The following is a 17,055-nucleotide window of genomic DNA, read 5'->3' as shown; positions in this document are numbered from 1 at the left end:
TTGAACTCCTGGGCTCAAAGGACTCTTCTGCCTCAACTTCCCAAGGAGATAGAACTATAGGAGCACGCAACCAGGCCTGGCTAATTTTTAAAATTTTTTGTAGAGACAGGATCTTGCTATGTTGCCCAGGCTGGTCTTGAACTCCCAGCCTAAAGCAATCCTCCCGTCCTGGTCTCCCAAAGTGCTGGGATTACAGGCATGAGCCACGACGCCTGGCCTATCCCTTCTTTCAACTGGGCTATTTGTCTTTTTATTATTGACTTATAAGTCTTTTACATATTCTGGATCTGAGTCCTTTATCAAATACATGATCTGTAAATCTTTTCTCCCATTTTGTGGGTGGTCGTTTGACTTTCCAGATGGTGCCCTTTGAAGCACAATGTTTTTCATTTAAATAAAGTCCAATTTAGCTATTTTTGTCACTTGTGCTTTTGGTGTCTTATCTAAGAAGGCTTTGCCTAATCCAAGGTCATGATAATTTACTCACATACTCTCTAGATTCTAGGAGTTGTACAGTTTTAGTTCTTACATTTGGATCTTACATTGGATCTGAGTTTATTTATTAATGGGTCCAACTTCATCCCTTTGCATGTAGATAATCAGCATCCTGGCACATCTGCTGAAGACTATTCTGTCCCCACTGAAATATCTTGGCACCTTAAGCAACTGACTGTAAATGTGAGGGTTTATTTCTAGACTCTCAATTCTACTTCACTGATCTATATATTTTAACCTTATGCCAATACCATCCTGTCTTAAAGTAAGTTTTGAAATCAGGAAGTGTGAGTCTTCTAACTTTGTTCTTCCTTTTCAAGACTGTTGGCTATTCTTGGTCTCTTACAGTTCCATAAAAATTTTAGGATCAGCTTGTCCATTTCTGCAAAAAGCAAGCTGGAATTCTGATAGAGATTACAATAAATCAATTTGGGAAGGAAGTATTGCCACCTTACCAATATTAAGGTTTCTGGTCCATAAACACGAGATGTCTTTCCATCAATTTTAGGTCTTTAATTTCTTTCAATGTTTTGTAGATTTTAGTTTACAAGTCTTGTACTTCTTTTGCTAAATTTACTCCTAAGTATTTTACCCTTCTTGGTATTACTATAAAAGAAACTGATTTCTTAATTTCATTCATAAGCTGGTAATTGCTTATGAAAGTTACTACTAGTAGGTTGGGTGCAGTGGCTCATGCCTGTAATCCCAGCACTTCGGGAGGCTAAGGCAGGTGGATCACCTGAGGTCAAGAGTTCAAGGTCAGCGTGGCCAACACGGTGAAACCCTGTCTCTACTAAAAATACAAAAATTAGCTGGGCATGGTGGTGGGTGCCTATAATCCCAGCTACTCAGGAGGCTGAGGCAGGAGAATCGCTTGAACCCAGGAGGCAAAGGTTGCAGTGAGCCAAGATTGTGCCATTTCAATCCAGCCTGGGGGACAAGAGTGAAACTCCATTGCAAAAAAAAAAAAAAAGAAAGTTACTAGTAGTAACTTTTGTAAGTTAGTAAATGTTCATTACTAGCTTACAGAACTACAATTGGTTTTCACATATTGATCTTACATCCTTCAATCTTAATGACTTTAATTATTTCCAATGGATGTTTTTTGCAGATTCCTTAAGACTTTCTATATAAAAGATCATGCCATCTGCAAATACAGATTGCTTCATTTCACTTTTTCCTTTCCAATCTGAATGCCTTTTATTTCATTTTCTCACCTACATGGCCTGCTTAGAATCCCCAGTACAAGGTTGATTAGAATTACCAAGAGTGGACATTGTTGTGTTGTTCATGATGTTAGGGTTGAAAAGCATGCAGTCTTTCACCATTAAGTATGATGTCAGCTGAGGGATTTCATAGATGTCCTTTATCAAGTTCATTAAGCTTCCTCCTATGCCTAATTGAGTGCTTTACCATGAAAAGGTTTGGATTTTATTAAAAGCTTTTTCTGCATCTGTTGAGATGATCATGCGCCTTTTAATTCTGTATTTTATTGATACAGTGCATTATATCAACTAATTTTAGATGTTGAACCAACCTTGCATTCCAGGGGTAAATCTCACTTCTCATAATGTGCAATCCTTTTTATATTTTGCTGAATTGGGTTTAGTAGTATTTTTGTTGAGGATTTTGGCCTCTACATTCATAAAGGATATCTAGCTTTCTGGTGATGTCACTGTCTAGTTTTAATATCAGGGTCATACTAACCTCACAGAATGACCATCATCTATTTTTTTTTTTTTTTTTTTTTGAGATGGAGTCTCGTTCTGTTGCCACACTGGAGTGCAGTGGTGCGATCTCGGCTCACTACAACCTCTGACTTCCTGGTTCAAGCAATTCTTCTGCCTCAGCCTCCCAAGTAGCTGGGATTACAGGCAAGCGTCATCACGCCAAGCTATTTTTTGTATTTTTAGTAGAAACAGGGTTTCATTATGTTGGCCAGGATGGTCTCGATCTCTTGACCTTGTGATCCACCCACCTTGGCCTCCTAAAGTGCTGGGATTACAGGTGTGAGCCACCATGCCCAGCTGACCATCACCTATTTTTATTAATAAAACTTACTGGAACACAGTCATGCCCATCCATCTTCATGTTTCCTAGGGCTGTTTTCATGCTGCCAATGGCAGAGCTAGGCAGTTATGACAGAGCCCAAATAGGCTGCAAAAGCTAGAATAGTCATTATATGGTCCTTTATAGAAATAGTTTGCTGACACCTGATCAGTATGAAAGGTTCATCTACAACACTTTTTCTTAAACTGAATGTTAGAAATACTTAACTGTACAACTCCAGCCTAACTTCCCTTTCCTGCTGTTTACATCCCACAACTGGCCAAGGGGCAAAGTTTTGCTAGAAGGAACAACAAGGTCTGTAAATCCCAGAAGAGGGGGGGTGAAATTCTAATCCCCTATCCTAACACTGCTACTTGAGGTAAGAGTTCCTGATTAAGATTCCCAAATATCTAAATGACTGCACAGAATCATTAACACACTACATTGAAGGTTAAGATTCCTTCAGAAACTCACATGACAGAATGACAACCATGAGATGAGAGTCTTTTATCTCATCCAGAGACTTGAACCACTATTGCTTTTTGCTTACCTTTCCTACTTCTTTCTGTGGAGCCTGGATAATGTTTTGATCTTCCATTTTATCCTCTTCCTCATCAAACAAGCTAAGAACAGTTTTGGTTCTAGGCTTGGTTCCTTTGTCCCATGGGGATGATGAAGAAAATAAATCAGAATGCTTGACTGTTTCCTGAGCAGATCTAGTCAAAAGTCCTTCCTGAAAATGAAAATAATAGGGGGAAAAAATAAGTAACACCTGGAAATACAAATCCTATCATGGAGCCTGCCAAGCTTCTCGTTAATTCAGTAACTGCCACATTTGCATGACTCAGGGCACAGTGAATCACATCTGTGCCCAAGTAACAAAACACTGAGGTCAATTCTTGATTGGCTGCTCCAAGAGACAGTCTTGTACAATCATCCGTAGCCAAAGATAACTTTTCCAAGCATTAAGACCATGGGTCCCTCTCTCCTATCAAGTGATAGGATGGCTATAATCCTGATGCACACTGGTTGCTCATGAACTAGGAAGAACTTCTAAGTGTCAAAGATAACCAATACAAGTGCCAATCATTGGGAGTGGACCATGAATTCGTAGCATTTAACTAATACATAAGCCCCAAGGGGGAAATCTAATCAGGAAAATCAGACCCTCAAATTGTAAAAGGCTTACACTGTATAGGCAATTGAAGAAGAATCTCTGAAATAATTCTAAAATGCAGTATTTATTCATTCAACAAATGGCACATTTCAGGTAAGATACCATTGATTATGAGGTACATCCCGATTTCAGAGTACTCAAACTATTAAAAAAATGCTTCTTTAAAGAAATACAAAGTTTATAACATAGTGCCTACTGTGTGCAAGGTAATATGCCAGTACTACAGATATGATGGTGAGCAAAACAAACTGGGCCTAGTCCGCAAGGGGCTTACACTCAGGGAGAGGGCAGTACAGCAACCAGTCAGAGTCAAGTGTGGACCAGGACTGGGATAGGACTGGGGTCCACACACAGCCACTAGGAAGAGAATTTCACACAGGAACACAGGTACAAATGAAATGCTTGTATCACTGTAGCTCCAAGGAGCCTCAGCAGCAAATGCAAATGCAACGCTCTTCACACAGGCCCTGGGAGATCTTAGACCTAAGCAGCTGGACACACAGCGTATAAGAAAAGTTAGAGAAAGAAAAGAGGCATATAGAGACTGAAGGCAACCACAAAGCTGGATGCCCAGGTGTGGCCAGCAGAACTACCCACAGGCCTCCTGCAAGAGACGGCAGACCGTCCAGGACTTGAAAGCTAGTGTTTTAGAAAGAGTAGAAATTTCACTCTACTCTGTAATCCTTGCCAATATCATCTAAAAGTAAAAGGATGCTAAACTAAAATCTCCTTAAAACTGACATTTAAATTCAAGTGCACTTGGGGACCAAAGGAGGACCAAGGGTAACAGGAACACTGCACAGAAGAGAACAAGTTAGAAAGCAAAGATGCCATGACGTGACAGTAACCACAGAGACAGGAGCAGGCACACCACAGTGCGCACATGTCTTGGAGAAGGGCCGGGAGGAAAGGCCCTGCAGAGGCTTCCTGCACTGTGGGGACACAGCCTGCTTGTCTATGTTTTCAAATCTGTCTACAAATGGGCCATTTATTTTCTGTGGTCAAAAAACTTAAGGGGTTGTGTGTGTTTGAAACAACATACGAGAGACAAATGCATTCAAGTATACAAGAGAAAAAAGTCCACCTTTTCTGACTCAGCCACATCAGTTCTCCCAAATTTTAATGACTCCTTGGCACTCTCAACCTTCTTATCCACAGACTTCACTCCAAGTTGTGCCTCCTTCTCTTCTTCATCGCTGAACAGCAAAGGTGGTGCCTCAGAGACAGTCTCTTTTTTCTACCAAAAGAAGAGTACATGACATCCACAACAATAAAAAAGTGTGTCTGACCAGCATGGCCATATACAGAACAAGCCCAAACCATCCTCTTAGGGCTTCAGCTAAATGTGATCAAGGAAGAGAGGACAGGATAGTGAAGGTAGCACCAAAAGGGAGAAGCAACAAACACCACCACCCGGGACTTGTGGACAGGACACTTCACGCCACCACATCACCTGTATCTGTCTACTTGTGTCTGTCAACCCCCATGCCTCCCTCCCTCAGATCCTTATCTCTGCCACCAGACGATTATGAGTCTCTCTCTCTGCCTCACTCCTCTTATATTTCAACTAGAAGACATTATCCAGCGTTGTCTTGCTAAAACAAAACACCTGCTGGATCAGGTCCTCTCCCAACCCAAACCAGCACTCCTTGCATGAAGCAAATGACACTCAGCAGATACCCCATTCTATCCCTCTACTCATATGCATCTCCTCCTTTCCCTGCTGTTCCTTAAGGTCGCTGCAAACTTTCAAACTTCCATGCCACGCTGCCCTCGATGTCTGTAGGTGCAAATCCTCCCCATCCTTCAAGCAGGGCCCCCACGCAGATGTCACCCACGGTCTCTGTCCTCTTCAGTTAAGTGTCAGTTGCTTTGTTGAATAAGCATAATATTTATCTCTCTACTTGACCCTTCCTTGACTTTCTTCCTAACTTATATAACAGCTAGCACACATCTGTTTGTCTGTTCATCTGAAAGGACTATACACTATATTTTCATGGACAGTCCCAGTGTTTTATACCAACTCAGTGTTCAATACAAGTCTGCAAGCACTTCAGCCCATTTCTCATCTCTTCCTTATCAGGGAGGCAGGGATTTGGGGACTAGGAAACTGAGGTTTGTGACTTTCCTGGAATTCATGGCATTTTTGCAGCAAGTGACTTATCAACAAGTGCTTGAGAAAAAACTAAAGATCTATTATAGTATAGTACAGATACAAATCATACCATATGACACGAGGAAGTGTGCTTTGAGGCAATGCCTAAATCAAGTTAGGAAGGCAGATTTGGGAAACTAAGGAAGGACATTGCTAATCATGATTTTAAAATGTGATGAATGAAGAAAGAAGAGAGCAAGGGGATTTTTAGTTAGGAAGAGATAAGTAAAGTGCAAAACCATTGAACTTAACATAAAAGAACACTGGAAGGCATAAAGAATTTCAGAAGAGATAAGGCAACACTGAAGTAATCAAAGGAAAAGGCTTTTGTGGAACATCCTGGACTCACTGAAAACTACATAAAAATTCAGTGCAGGCCGGGCACGGTGGCTCACACCTGTAATCCAAGCACTTTGGGAGGCCAAGGTGGGCGGATCATGAGATCAGGAGATCGAGACCATCCTGGCTAACAAAGTGAAACCCCGTCTCTACTAAAGAAATACAAAAAATTAGTCGGGCATGGTGGTGGGTGCCTGTAGTCCCAGCTACTAGGGAGGCTGAGGCAGAATGGCGTGAACCCGGGAGGCGGAGCTTGCAGTGAGCCAAGATGCGCCACTGCACTCCAGCCTGGACGAAAGAGCAAGACTCCGTCTCAAAAAAAAAAAAAAATAATAATAATTCAATGCAAATAGTTGATAGGGGAGACAAAAAGAGACTTAAGTATGGCAAATCATATTCTTCCTTCATATATAACTAAGGTCCTTAAACCACAGAAAATGCTACCCAAAGTACCAGTTTTAATCTTCTTGAAGACAAGCTCATCCTTGTCATGAAGTTTACTTCCTGTTTTTTTCTTTCTTTTTTTTTTTTTTGAGATGGAGTCTCACTCTGTTGCCCAGGCTGGAGTGCACTGGCACAACCTCAGCTCACTGCAAAATCCATCTCTCAGGTTCAAGCGATTCTCCTGCCCCAGCCTCCCTAGTAGCTGGGATCACAGGCGTGCACCACCATGCCTGGCTAATTTTTGTATTTTTAATAGAGATGGGGTTCCACCATGTTGGCCAGGCTGGTCCTAAACTCCTGACCTCAGGTGATCCACCCACCTCAGCCTCCCAAAGTGTTGGGATTACAGGCGTGAGCCACCACGCCTGGTCAAATTTACTTTCTTGATAGGTGTCAGAAAATAAGGAAAGTCTGAAGAAAAAAAAATTGTCTAAAATGGCTGCATCTTGGCCATATGGGTAATAGAAACCGGGCCTATGAACGAAAGCTGAACCTCACCTGCAAGGCCAGAGTCTGTCAAATATCACACTGACAGGCACCGATTACAACCTGCCTATTGGATGAAGCACAAAGGCAGCACAAAATCAACCATCCCTCTCCTGACCCTGCAACTGCGACCCCTATGTACTCATTAGGGTAAAAGGCTAATGAGGAAAATACATTAACCACATATTTACTTTATCTTATATTCAATGTCACCGAGCACCAATCTGAATTAAGAAAGTCACCGTTGCTTCACTGCCCCCTTTTCCCATTTTCTATATAACAGAAATGTATAAATGCTGTGTCTCGTGTGGCCCACTCTGGGACGCATTCTCAGTTTGTGTGGAGTCTCTTTACTGGGCTAGTAGTTCTCAAGCTTGGCTCAAAACAAAACTCACATTACATTTCTTTAAGTTCTCCTGCCTGTGGTTTAACCTTTTGGTCAACATAGGCTTACAACCAAGTCACAATTAACTTACACTGAAATATCTGTAAACAAGAAATATCTTTTATTTACTATTGTCTAAAGATGATTATATTTCACAAATAATCAAAAACGTGTAGGCTATTCAGCTACTTAAGTTGTGTGTCTTGACCTTTTGTTTTATTTAACAATCATAATTACCATAGGTTGAAAGAAGTTTTACAGCTCCAGAGGCTCCAAAATTCATTAATTTATTGCTCAGTTATCCTCCAGAGTAGTTTATTTATAATTTACAAAGAAAAACCAATCAGATCTCCTGACTCCTTTAATTGTACAACCACTGGATGTCCTTAAAGGGGGAGATGTAAGTACAGAGCACCCAAGGAAAGGCTCAGGAGCCCCGTAGAAGCAGCAGCAGGGAGCCTGGGGCCCAGGGTGGGCAGCATGCTGGCCCAGGGCTGAGAGCTTCTGGTATAAGCTGAGCAACTCCATTTAACAGGAAGGGTCTTCTTCCATATCTCCTAGATATTTTTTGTTTGGAGTTTATTTCTAATTCCACAGTAATGCACAAATGCCTTCCTTAAAAAGGCTTTAAAAAGGCATTGAGAGTATGAAGTTCCCCATTCCATACCTTTCCCTGGACATAATCACTGGTAACAATGTGCTATCGATGCTTTCAGGCCGGTTTCCAGGCATTCATGTGTATTTCTTGTTTTGTAAAGTTTAAATTACACCATGTTTACGTGTTTACGCTTTTTTTTTTTTTTGGCCTGCAGTATGTTTTTCATCCCAATAAGCTCCACCCTGGGTTTTTTTTACCACTGTATAGTATTCCACAGTCTAACTGTACTAGGACCTGTGTGACCATTTCTCCACTGATAGAGTATAACGGCCTCAAGGTTCATGCATTTTGTAGCACATGTGAGAATTTCCTTCCTTTTTACTGACTGGCTAATATAAACCAGGACCAGTGTTAGTACTCGACACACACTCATAAAAGGAATGATTTTGCCTTAACTGGCCTAGTCTAATGTTAGCAGAATTCCATGACAATGGGGCCCAAGCCTCTTCTGAGACCCAGTTCCTTGTTCCTACACCTGACACTGAATGATGGTTTTGCACGTGTGCTTCTTCTCTAGAATACTATTAATCAGAAGATCTCTTTCTGAAACCAGGCAAATAAGGTCTTCCATAAGACTCAGCCTCCAAGGTTAGGTATGAAGAGCTGATTCGGGGAAGTACCACTACTGATGCAGCATAAACTCAAGGACATTTCCTGGGACTAAGAGATGAAGAATACCTTTGTTGCAGGAGGAACAGATGTGGGAGGAGAGCCAAACAGAGAGCCTCCGCTATCAACATCGTCTTCAAAGAGGAGTGACACTCTCTGGGTCTTCTTTTGGCTACACAAACAAACAAAAGGTCAAATTAAGGAAAAGTGTGATGAAAAAAACAAAAACCATAACAACAATATTTCTTCTAGACTGCACCTACAGGAATCCACCTACCACCCAAACACCCAAGCCATTAGTTGACCTTACACAGTTGAAAGCAAACAGGAAAGACCTTTGAAATAGATGAAATCTGACTCCAACAAATCACCAGCCTCTGTCCCTCCTGCCTCAGGTTGCCCCTTTCCTGTTACTATCCAGTGCAGGTTCATCAGCTGTTACCGCTGCAAGGCACACGATGCCTGAGCCTTCCCAAGCAGAACATTCTCTCCCACTTCCTATAGCACAAAAAGAATCAAAGCGGACAGGCCTATTTCCAGAATTGTCATGAAGACGGTTGCCAAGAGAGATCACAGGGCCAGGATCAGCACTGGGAAATGACCCTGTGCCTGGCTTCTATTTCTTTTTTTTAGTAGCGTTATTGAGACATAATTTACATTCCATAAAATTCACCTTGTATTTACTTTATTTTTAATATTTATTTTACTTTTTAAGACAGGGTCTCACTCTACTGCCCAGGCTGGAGAGCAATGGCACAATCATATCCCACTGCAGCCTCAAATTCCTGAACTCAAGTAGCCTCTCAAGTAGCTACAACTACAGGCACACGTCACCATGCCTGGCTAATTTTTTTACTTTTTTGGAGAGGTGAGGTCGCTCTATGTTGCTCAGGCTGGTCTCAAACACCTGGCCTCAAGAGATCCTTCCACTTGGCCTCCCAATCAGTTAGGATTACAGGCATGAGCCGTTGCACCTGGCCAGATTCACTCTTTTAAAGTGCGTACTTCAATGGTTTTCTTAATCCAGATTCACTCTTTTAAAGTGCATACTTCAATGTTTTCTTTAATATACTCATCGAGTTGTGCAATATCACTACAACCTAAGTGCACAACATTATCATGACCCCAAAAAGAACCGCCATGCCTATGAGCCATCACTCTCCATTCCCCCTGCCCCACAGGCCCTGGCAACCACTAATCTACTTTCTGTCTCTGTGGTTTATCTATACATTTCATATAAATGGAACAATACAATATGTGGTTTTCTGTGACCAGCTTCTTTCAAGTAACATAAAATTTTCTAGGTTCATTCATGTTCTAGGATGCATCGCTACTTTATTCTTTTTTATTGCTGAAGAACAGTCCATCGTATGGTTATACATTTTGTTTATCCAGTCATCAGTTGATGGACATTTGGGTTGTTTACACTTTCGGCTGTTATGACTAAGGCTGCAATAAACACTCATGTACAAGTTTTTATATGAACAACTAATTTCATTTCTCTTTATACGTATATACATAGGAATGAAACTATTATGTCATATGGTGACTCTATGTTTAACATTTTGAGGAAATGCCAAACTACTTTCCAAAGTGACTACACCATTTTACGTTCCCACCAGCAGTGTATGAGGGTTCCAATTCCTCCACATCCTCACCTCAACTTCTTCTTGTGTGTGTAAAGCTTCTTTTGAGATCTGATGAAGGTATGAATTACTTTCCATACACAAAACTTGACAGACAACTTCGGGAACAATAGGAGGTAGGATGTATCTGGAGCAGAGAAAGCATTCCTGAAAGCCAGGTATGGTGTGTGGCTGGAACCAGGACCCACAAACAAGATGGGGTTCAGACTGCCAGATTTATGACCTTGTGTGGGGTGGGGGTAGTGGACACTCATGGGAATAAGCTAACCTGGATACAGTGCAGAAAATGCTCAGCTGAGGGTGTTGGGGTATGAAGGTGGAGCCATGACCGCCCTCGACTCCCTACTTCTTCTCTTTCTCGTCTGTTTAAAGTTAGGAAAGGCCTTTTTTTTTGAGATGGAGTCTCTCTCTGTTGCCCAGGCTGGAGTGCAGTGGTGAGATCTTGGCTCACTGTAACCTCTGCCTCCCAGGTTCAAGCAATTCTCCTGCCTCAGCCTCCCGAGTAGCTGGGATTACAGGTGCGTGACATGACGCCCAGCTCATTTTTGTATTTTTAGTAGAGACGGGGTTTCACCATGTTGGTCAGGCTGTTCTTCAACTCCTGACCTCGTGATCTGCCTGCCTCGGCCTCCCCAAGTGCTGGGATTACAGGCGTGAGCCACTGCGCCCAGCCGGGAAGGCTTCTTATGAAACAAGACTTACACTTAGTTTTGAAAGAAGGTGGCCAGGCAACACAGGAAGAAGAATGTCCCAGGAGAGAGCAACAAAAATAAAGGAATGTACTATTTCCCTGCAGTCACGATGCTAACTGGCAATACCTGAGGGCTCAGAATGTGCCAGCTCTTGTGCTCAGCATTTCACATTTAGATTCCACCTCATCATCCCAACAAACCGATGAGAGAAATGCTGTTTTTATTTTTGTTTAACAAATGAGGAAATTGAGGCACAGGGAAGTTAGGTAACTTGCCCAAGGTTATTCAGACAGGAACTGGCAGAATCAGAATTTAATATCAAGTTTCCAGAGCCTATATTCTAAATCAGAGACCAAAGATGCATCCGAGTGTCAAGTTACAGAGGCCTAATGCAGAAATGGTGATGCTTGACAAGATTCGAGTATTTGGAGACAGAAACCTGACGTACTTCTGAATCTATCAAATGACGCTTAACCACACCAAAGCATAGGATTTACATGTCCAATCAGTTACTTCTTTCTGCTAATAACATTCAGGTGAATTTCAAAGTAATCATGTCAGGCTTTCAAAAGGAAAAAAAGTATTTGCAGGGAAGTAATTCTGAACCCATAAGCTAATCTGGCAGCATGTTATACCAACCACAGCCCACGCTCACTCTGAATATCCTAGCAGCTTCAGTTCCAGCATTAATGGGGAGAGGCACCTAGGTTGGCTATGGGTTATCAGCCCCTGGAGTGATACTGCACAGCTCTACAGGGAACTTCCTCCTAACAGGATGTGTTAAATGCTGAGCAGATTTCTATTCAAATAACTTTTTTTTTTTTTTTTTTTTTTTTGAGATGGAGTCTTGCTCCGTTGCCCAGGCTGGAGTGCAGTGGTGCCATCTCAGCTCACTGCAACCTCCACCTCCCAAGTTCAAGCCATTCTTCTGCCTCAGCCTCCCAAGTAGCTGGGACTACAGGCGCGTGCCACCACACCCGGCTAATTTTTATATTTTTTTAGTAGAGACAGGGTTTCACCATATTGGCCAGGCTGGTCTTGAACTCCTGACATCGTGATCCGCCCACCTCGGCCTCCCAAAGTGCTGGGATTACAGGCATGAGCCAACGTGCCTGGCCTAAAGTAACTTTTAAGTAATCCTGACCAAACCTGACATACTTTAGAGTAGCCCAGAGAAAAATCACAAACAAAAGATACTCAAATCCCTGACAAACAAAGAAAAAGAATATGGTTAAAAAATAATGATTGGGGAAGAAATCAGATAAGGATCCACAAAGACAAACATTTCCGGGTACTGAGGGAAAAGATGGTGCCATTGAAAAGCAAAGACATTCTCACTGGCACAATCACTATGTGATCCATGATTAGCAATCACCCGATGAACTAGATTGTGCATCAGATTCCTTTTCTTGTTACCACGGTAACGGAGTGAGGGACTCCTTCCAATGACTATCTCACCTGTCCTTGGCAATGGCAAAAAGATCATCTTCTTCGTCTTCCTCAAAGAGACTGGTCTTTTTCACAGCCTTGGCCTCCTGGCTCTGGAGGGTCCCAGAATCCCTGGGTTCTCCTTTAGACCTGCTGTCAGATGCTAAGTGGGTCTGTGAAGCAGGAATATTCCACTGGTCCTTAAAACATAAAATATATATTAAAACTCCAGGCCAGGCGCAGTGGCTCATACCTATAATCCCAGCACTTTGGGAGGCCGAGGCGGGTGAATCACGAGATCAGCAGATCAAGACCATCCTTGCTAACATGGTGAAACCCCGTCTCTACTAAAAATACAAGAAAATTAGCCGGGCGTGGTGGCGGGAGCCTGTAGTCCCAGCTACTCGGGAGGCTGAGGCAGGAGAATGGAGTGAACCCAGGAGGCAGAGCTTGCAGTGAACGGAGATCGTGCCACTGCACTCCAGCCTGGGGGACAGAGCGAGACTCTGTCTCAAAAAAAGAAAAAAAAGTCCAATGGCAATTTAGATTATAAAACATGGGGAGTAAAATCAAACTTATATTTGTTAAACTAAGTTGTATTTAAACTAAGTATTAAACTTAGTGCATCAGTCTTGAAGAAAGCTCATGCTTAAGACTTTTCTTTGAACTCAAATCTAGACAGCTGGGCTCTCTGACCTCACAGAGCTTCTCATGATTTCCTCCTCCAACACCTGCCACGATGTCTCTTCCCACTGTGGTTCTGCACTGTATTACGACAAGCGACTTGTCTATTTCAGGGAATCAACATTAATTACAGAGGCTATAAGAAGGAAGCCAAATGTAAAAATACCAAGAACTCAAGAACTTCCAACTCCAGAGAAGAATATTTTAATTCTAAAAATCCTAAAGCAGATTGAAAAAAAAGTGTAAAAACTCATGCAGCACACATGTGAACAAGACACAATGAAAAACTGCTAGTAATCCTTTTACCACAAGTCTGAATGTGGCCTTTAGAAAGCATTTAAGGAAATTCTACTCGACTATGCTCACACCCCTTCAAATCAAAGAACTCCCAAGCACTTGCATAAGTGCTCTATCTCTGGAGTCTAGAGTCTTGCAAATCAAACTGGAGTCCACAAGCCAGCAGCAGATTATGCAGAATTTCAGGCCCCGCGCCTATTTTCTGAATCAGAACCTGCATTTCACAGGGTGCCTGGGTGATTTCCTAAACATGAAGGTTTGAGAAGTGCTCCTCAATGTTTAGCAGTGACTAAACGCTGAAATCCACTAGAGAGTATCACAAAACTCCAATGACGAGGCTGTACCCCAACCAGATTAATTCAGAATCTCTGGAGCTGGGATCCACTGTCAGCACTCGTCAGGTCTTCTTTTTTTTTTTTTTTTTTTTTTTCCTTTTTCGAGACAGAGTCTTGCTCTGTGGCCCGGGCTGGAGTGCAGTGGCGCAGTCTCGGCTCACTGCAACCTCTGCCTCCCGGGTTCAAGTGATTCTCTTGCCTCAGCCTCCTGAGTAGCTGGGATTACAGGCAAGCACCACAACACCCAGATAATTTTTGTATTTTTTAGTAGAGACAGAGTTTCGCCATGTTGGCCAGGCTGGTCTCAAACTCCTAATCTCAGGTGATCTGCCCACCTCCTTGGCCTCCCAGAGTGCTGGGATTACAGGCGTGAGCCACTGTGCCCGGCCTGTCAGCACTCTTTTAAGTTCCCCATGGATCCCAATGAGCAGCCGAAGTTGACAGCCTTTGTTCTAGGACAAGCTTGTCCAACCTGTGGCCCATGGGCCACACACAGCCCAGTATGGCTTTGAATGCGGCCCACCACAAATCTGTAAACTTTCTTAAAACATTATGGGATTTATGCACGAACCTTTTTATTTTTTTAGTTCGTCAGCTATTGTTAGTATTAGCGCACTTTATGTGTGACCCAAGACAATTCTTCTTCTTCCAGTGTGGGCCAGGGAAGCCAAAAGACTGGACGCCCCTGTTCTAGAACCTTGGCTGTCTTTCTTCTGCATGTCTTTTTGCTCCAAGCTTTAGGTAATGTTTTTATTTTCCCTGAACCACTATAATACTCTAGTAGGAGCAACTACACTGATGTCTGGCTGTTGCTACAGGGGGAACAATCACCGACAATGTTTAAAAGAAAAAAACTGGATAATCTATCATAAATTCATACATTTGAGTAGAAAACACAAATTATATATGCTTGGGAGTTCCTTGATGTGAAGGCATGAGCACAGCTGGGTGGGAATTCCTTAAACGCTTTCTAAAGGCCAGACTCAGACTTTTGTAGTAAAAGGATTACTAGCAGTTTTTCATTGTGTCTTGTTCACATGTGTGTTGCATAAGCTTTTTTTTGAGACGGAGTTTCGCTCGTTGCCCAGGCTGGAGTGCAATGGCGTGATCTCGGTTCACGACAACCTCCATCTCCTGGGTTCAAGTGATTCTCCTGCCTCAGCCTCCTGAGTAGTTGGGATTACAGGCATGCGCCACCACAACCTGCTAATTTTTTTGTATTTTTAATAGAGACAAGGTTTCTCCATGTTGGTTAGGCTGGTCTCGAACTCCCAACCTCAAGTGATCTGCCTGCCTCAGACTCTCAAAGTGCTGGGATTACAGACGTGAGCCACCACGCCCGGCCGCATAAGCTTTTAATACATTTTTTTTTGCAATCTGCTTCGGAATTTTTAAATTGCTTTCAGTAAGAACATGAACATATCTATGACTTATATATCCACTTCACCCCCTATTAACTTGCCTACAATGTTAAAAAAAAAGAGGAATTATTATAACACAGGAAGATGTTTACTACTCAGGATTTTTTATATCATCATATTTAAAGTCTTTTTCTGCACAGCTAAATCTGATTCCCTGCTACTAAATCTGATTGAGTTAGCAACTAAACTAACTGATTTGGTAGTATCTATCCAGATCACAAACAGAAATATTGTTAAGACTCCCTCAAAAAGGAGTTTAACCTCAATAGGTAACTCCTCCTAACTATAGTTCTAAATTAATGAAACACAGTAGTCATTTAACAAGATACTAGTATATATGGCCATTGGGGTATACGGGACATGCTACCTCAAAATATGACACCTTGGCATTTGAGAAAACAGAAGCAGAAAGGTCTCTCTGACCTTTCCCTGGCCCTTCTCCTCTGAAGCAGGACATAGAAGAATCCTCTAACCCTCTCTGGAGTAGGTCATAAAACCTTCATTCCAGTCCTCCCTATTCCCAGAGGAAAGGAGCCTCCTTATTTGTAAAGATGCAGAGAATGATCTGACCACACAGGCCTTGCTGAGCTCCCCCCAGCTTATTCCCATCAGGTCACACCCCTTTCATCTAATCGTGCTCCCCAAAACTGTCCGCTTCTTCATCAGACTGCATAAAATTGACACAGGATTTCCTGTTTCTCTTGAGTTTTTCTTTCTGAAGGCTCCTGTGTCTGGTAAAACTTATCTTACGTAAACTTGCACACTTTTCTCTGGTTAATCTGTCATTTGTTCTAAGGGACTCGACCATGAACTAGCGATGGCTGAGAAATCATTTCCCCCCTAGCCGGCCTAACTCATTTGAAGGAGCATACACTATTGTGTGGGAGTCATACCTATTCCTAACCATTTTGAAGAGATTCATCTTTAAATTAATATATTACATTAAATGTCTTCCGTCAGAAAAGACAATCTTGTGAACATCGCCTTTGGTGACTGAACATCACGAGATATAAAACAGGTAGAAAAAGACTTGGGATGGCTTTAACTCTTAAATCCCATGAAATAATCCCCTCTTCTTTAGCAGAAACCTCAGCTCACCTCCTCATCACTGCTGAACAACAGGGCAGATGCTTTCTTTTTGGAGAGCTCGGAGGCTTTTGCTTTCTCTTCTCTCTGAGCTTGTAGACACAATGTCTGCTTCTTAGCAGCTGTACCCCCAAAAAGATTATCCTAGAAAAGCAAATGGCAGAAAGGTAAGACAACTTTATAATCAGAAAACATAGGATGTCCTCCTATATCAAACTTTAAGGAAGTAAGTCTCCAGTCAGGTATACAAATAACAACTCTGGCGGGGAAAAACCGCAAAATGCTAGTAAATCCCAAACTACAGCCTTTTCTCACTGCACCCATAGAAGGGAAAGAGATTACCATAGAACTCGAAGGCAGAACAGCTGCATATAAGCAGGAGAACAACATGCAAATGAGATCATGAAGTACAAGGAGAAACTGAGCCCCATCCAGTCACCCTGTGGGCAAGTGCCTCTCTGCTCATTTCAGGGGGTTACAGCCTGCAATGGGCACGGGAGCCCCCGCAGCAGCCAGAAACTCACACTGTTGTCTCCACGAATGAGAAACCAGAACAATGGCTGAAAGGAGAGAACTGGGGGTCTGTCTCCACTCCTTTACAGGTCAGAAAGACATACACCTGGGATGGAGGGAAGGCATGACTTGTGTTTCTCATTAGTTTCAAAGAGA

General features: G+C 42.4%; 1 protein-coding gene across 31 annotated transcripts in view; it reads right to left on the bottom strand.

The window, feature by feature from the left end:
• The window catches only part of WASHC2A (WASH complex subunit 2A), a 65,556-nt gene that overhangs the window by 10,646 nt on the left and 37,855 nt on the right, over positions 1 to 17,055 (bottom strand). For 17 of the 31 annotated variants that reach the window (NM_001005751.3, NM_001291398.2, XM_017016227.2 and 14 more), the window contains 5 exons: positions 16,399 to 16,530; positions 12,594 to 12,763; positions 8,867 to 8,969; positions 4,806 to 4,958; positions 3,095 to 3,277 (listed from right to left, as the gene is read on the bottom strand). In NM_001005751.3, coding sequence (NP_001005751.1) covers positions 3,095 to 3,277; positions 4,806 to 4,958; positions 8,867 to 8,969; positions 12,594 to 12,763; positions 16,399 to 16,530 — 741 coding nt within the window. Of the gene's footprint in view, positions 1 to 3,094; positions 3,278 to 4,805; positions 4,959 to 8,866; positions 8,970 to 10,455; positions 10,571 to 12,593; positions 12,764 to 16,398; positions 16,531 to 17,055 lie in introns of those variants that run through there. The other 14 variants (NM_001437387.1, NM_001437384.1, XM_047425212.1 and 11 more) reach the window with 5 other exon arrangements.

Source organism: Homo sapiens, chromosome 10, assembly GCF_000001405.40.
Source record: "Homo sapiens chromosome 10, GRCh38.p14 Primary Assembly".
NCBI lineage: Eukaryota > Metazoa > Chordata > Mammalia > Primates > Hominidae > Homo > Homo sapiens.
This window is presented reverse-complemented; position numbering and strand designations above follow the sequence as displayed.